Source organism: Homo sapiens, chromosome 3 (assembly GCF_000001405.40).
Source record: "Homo sapiens chromosome 3, GRCh38.p14 Primary Assembly".
NCBI classification, from domain to species: Eukaryota; Metazoa; Chordata; class Mammalia; order Primates; family Hominidae; genus Homo; species Homo sapiens.
The window spans coordinates 31,388,809-31,392,965 of record NC_000003.12 but is presented as its reverse complement, the minus strand read 5'-3'; the positions used below and the strand labels follow the sequence as shown (position 1 = coordinate 31,392,965).

The window sequence follows — 4,157 nt, the reverse complement described above, 5'->3', positions numbered from 1 at the left end:
AACTAAATATGTAGAGTCACCATTTAATGAAAAAGTATGAAAAGTCTTACAAAAATAGAAAGTCAAAGACATTGCGACACTGAGTAAGCAGAGGTTTTGACCTGGCTTTCTGGATGCAGGAAGCTTTCTGTGAGGAACTGAGATCTAAAAGATGAGAAGAAACTAGACAAGGTGAGGAGGAAGCATGAAAGGCCAGAAAAGAACCAGCCCTTTTTGAAGGTGCTGAGGTGGAGAGAAGTAGGGTGAGCTTGAGAAAATGAAAAACCTGTGTGGTTTTTAGAGTGGAACTGGGAGAGGACATGGAAGGCAGGAAGGTATCTCAAGGTGAGGCTGCAGAATTGTGCAGACAAGTCTTTCACAGCTTTCTGGGCTGTGATAAGGATGTCGATCTTTATCCTAAAAGCATTACAATGCATTGAACAATTCTCAGCAGGAGCAAGGCACAATCAGCTTTGCCCTGTAGAAAAATCCCCCTGGCTGGTATGCACAGAACGGACTGAAGGGAGCAAAAGTAGATGCAGAGAAACTGGTTAATAAGCTGTTGCCATTTTGGATGTAGAGATGCTGGCAGCTTGGACTTTAGGAGTAGAGAGAAGAGGAGATATTTAGGATTTGGAGATGGATTAGATGCGGGGTGAGGGAGAGAGAGTTTCAAGACTGACTCTTAGTTTTCTAGCTTTTGAAACTGAGCAGATGGATTTGCTTTCACTGAGAAAGAAACACTGGAGGAAGACTGGGATTGAAGGAAGGGGTGGAGGTCAGTCTGGATCACGCTGAGTTGTGTGTGAGACATACAAGGGGCACAGTCAGCAGGCTGCTGGATGTGTGGGCCTGGAGCTGTGGATGAAGATCAAACACATGATCATCTGCTTAGAGAAGGTGTGGAGCTACAGTGTGGATGAGGTCCTGTGGGTGGGTAGTACATTGGCAGAATAAAAGCAGGCCTAGGACCAAGCCTTAAAGAACCAACCTTGAAGGAGGCAGGTATATCACAGGGTTTCATAGTCAAGTTTGAGGAGTTCATGGTCAAGGGTATATCATAGTCAAGTTTGAGAAGAGGAGGAAGACCTGGCAAGTGACACTGAAGAGTGGGAAGTTGGAGGAGGAGGAAAACCAGAAGAGTTTGGCATCGCAGAAGCCAGAGGAAGAGAGTGTGGCTGGGGGGAATGGGCAGTGCTGTAGAATGCATTAATTTTACCTGCATCAAGTTTGGTGGAGTGGAAGGAACGAAAGTCTTCCTTACCTGCTTCTCATCTGAAATCAAGATACATCCCCCTAAATTGAGTATATTTAATGAATCATGTTGAAAATTCCCTATTCTCGACATTTAAATTGTGTGAGTTTAACCTTTGATCTTTCTCACTTTGTAAATCACCCAACCTAAATTACTTTTCGGTGATTATTTTTTCCCCTTCTGTGAGCCAGTGGCCCAGAATGGAAAACAAGCTTCCCCCTCAGCTCTAGAGGTTTGCATTTCAAAAGACCCTCAGCCACCAGCTGAAAAACTCTGCAGTGGATTTGCAGTAGGTTCTGTCTTCTCAGTTCCTCTACCGGAGGAGCACAGCCAGCCAGCTCACTAAATGAGGACGGGTGCTGACCTTGTGTTGGCCCCAATCCACTGTGCATTTCAAAGCAGATTAGGAGACACTTTGAACAAGCTTTTGCTACACGCCAGGTGTCCTTCCAAATGCCTTGGGTAGAACTAGAGATGAGTTCCATGAATTGTTAATGCTGATCTGAAACAGGGCTTTCAATAATTCCTGCCCTCATTTCTTCCCTGGATGAAAATCACATTCCAAAGAAGGGCAAAAGGCAGTCCTCCAAAAGCACTCCCAGAATTGACCACTGACAAATTAGAGAGATGATAAATTCCGGTGTAAAATAGAAGTTTATTTGGTTACTTTTCATTCTGGCCGCTAATTTCAGGTCACCAATTTTTCATTCTGAATGGGTGTATGTAAATCTTGCCTAAAACTTTTTGCCTTTTCTGGCAGCTTGGGATGAGTTCTTATGAAGGATTCAGACTGGCATCATTAATATTTTTAATTGCTATGGTCAAATAGCTTCGATTGAATGGTGTAGAATTTGGTGTCTTAAGACACTTTAAATACACACATGTGCACACACGCAAACTATGGCTTAGTTAATTTTATTTTTAATCTCAAATACTAGTTTTGTGTCTCTGACTTTTAGCAAATTTTCCCCAGCCTCCTCCACTCTCTCTCAGGCCCACCCACCAGTTTCTTTGGCACACTGTTTCTTCCCTCTGCAGCTCACTGCCTCCCCCTTCCTTGCTAAGTGAATTCTTTCCAGGTACAGTGACATCTGGTAGTGAAAGAAGAAATAATCAACTGCAGCTGAGAAATATTCCCCAGTGATATTTGCAATACTAAAATTTCAGCCTTGTGTCAGGGAGAGATGCGAATGGACTATTTGCAGGAAGAAGTTTCCCTTTCCAATCTGAAAAAATACAAGTAGAGAGTAAATAAAAAAGGATTAGAAAAAAGTTAGGTATTAACACTTTCTTAATATTATTAGCAGAGGAATCACAAAGTCATAGGGTTTAAAAGGACCTTTAGGGGCCATTTGGTTCAATCCCCTGCCTCTAGGCATGATGGGACCTGAGTTATTTAGATAGGTAGTTGTTCATGTCTGATTTTAAATGGCCTCCAGGGAAAAAATGCCAGAGCTTCCCTTAGTAATCAGTTCCAGTCCGTAATAATAGTGATGGAAATAAAGATGGTTTCCTCTGAGATGTCTGACAACATTATCATCAATTAATGTAGAACCTATGGGCAGGACTGAACTACCCAGCACCTGGGTTTTTCTAAGTCATTCCTCTTTTCTTACTCTGTCATTTTAGCCATCATTTTACAACCCTGATGGTCCAAAGGCTCTTTCTTCTTTTCTCCTAATTCAGTCTTCCTGCTATATTTTAAACTAGTTTCCTTTTGTGTGGGCCTTAAGGGAGAAGAGGACAGCTGGCCTGTTTCTGCTCTGGATTATCTTTCATAGACTAAGATATTTTATTGTTATTTCTGACTTGTCTAAGATTTGCCCCAAATGACTTAGGTTGTCTTTTTAAGTACTTTATATCATATATAATACAACTGGCAATATCGGTGGAAATCAAAATAAAAATTAAAACAAAGCAGCTCATGATCCTGTGACATGAATGACTCAAACATTTTATTTTTAGGGGCTTCTTTTCAATACTCATTTTTCTCTCTCTATGTATATACATATTTTTTGCATAGTTTCTGTTTCATATAGCTTAATGTTCTGTTTTTTTAAATTTAACATTACATGTTAAGGATTTTGCTTTTTCCTCAGAAGTATTTTATAAACCAGTGCATACATTTTCACTACTGGTTTTTCTATAACTTACATAAGCATTCTCTTCTTGTAGGGAGTTTAAATAATTTCCAAGTTTAAAAAAAAACAAAATAAATTGGTATCATAGCAAATGGAACTCACTAGCAACCCAAAAACTTGATAGCTGGACACAGAGGTCCGAAGCACAGAGAAGTTTCCAGACTGTCACTGATGCTCAGATCCAAAGCCCTGCTGAAGAGGTCTGATCCTACCATCAGAATATTTGAACTAAATCTCACTAAATGAGATGCCAACAATGTCCAAATTCAGCTAAACTTCAGATTAGACTGACTCACCACTGTCCCCTTCTCTTGCCACCCATCCATGTACTAGTGGCCTGAGAGAGGAAGGGGCATACTCTTTCCTGGGAGTGAATATTATTTACTTCAGTTTTCATTGTACTTTTGTACAAAATCTCTGGCACATAATTTTTAAAAACAAACAAGTCAGGAGACAAAGGAAGAAAATGTGACCTATAATCCAGAGGGGGAAAAAAAGAGTTAAAAGAATTAGACTCAGATGTGGCACAACAAATGTAGACTTTCAGAAAATAATTGGAAAATATTAAAAGCCAAATGGAAATGATAGAATTGAAAAATATCTATCAGAATTAATTTTAATAATTGAATTGATAGGCTTACTAACAGGAAAAGATCAGTAAACATGGAGAAAGGCTAAAAGAGATTATATAAACTGAATAAAAAAGGAAAATAAGTATGCAAAACTGAAAAAAAATCTGAGACTTTAGGTACAATATCAAATGATCAAATATAATAGGAGTT

At 39.6% G+C, this 4,157-nt stretch overlaps 1 annotated feature.

Moving 5' to 3' along the window:
- Nucleotides 293–502: an enhancer, noted in NCBI's record as "active region_19628". NCBI's record gives its function as "activates an Ori minimal core promoter by ATAC-STARR-seq in GM12878 lymphoblastoid cells {active_cell/tissue: GM12878}" and the evidence as "EXISTENCE:reporter gene assay evidence [ECO:0000049][PMID:35858748]".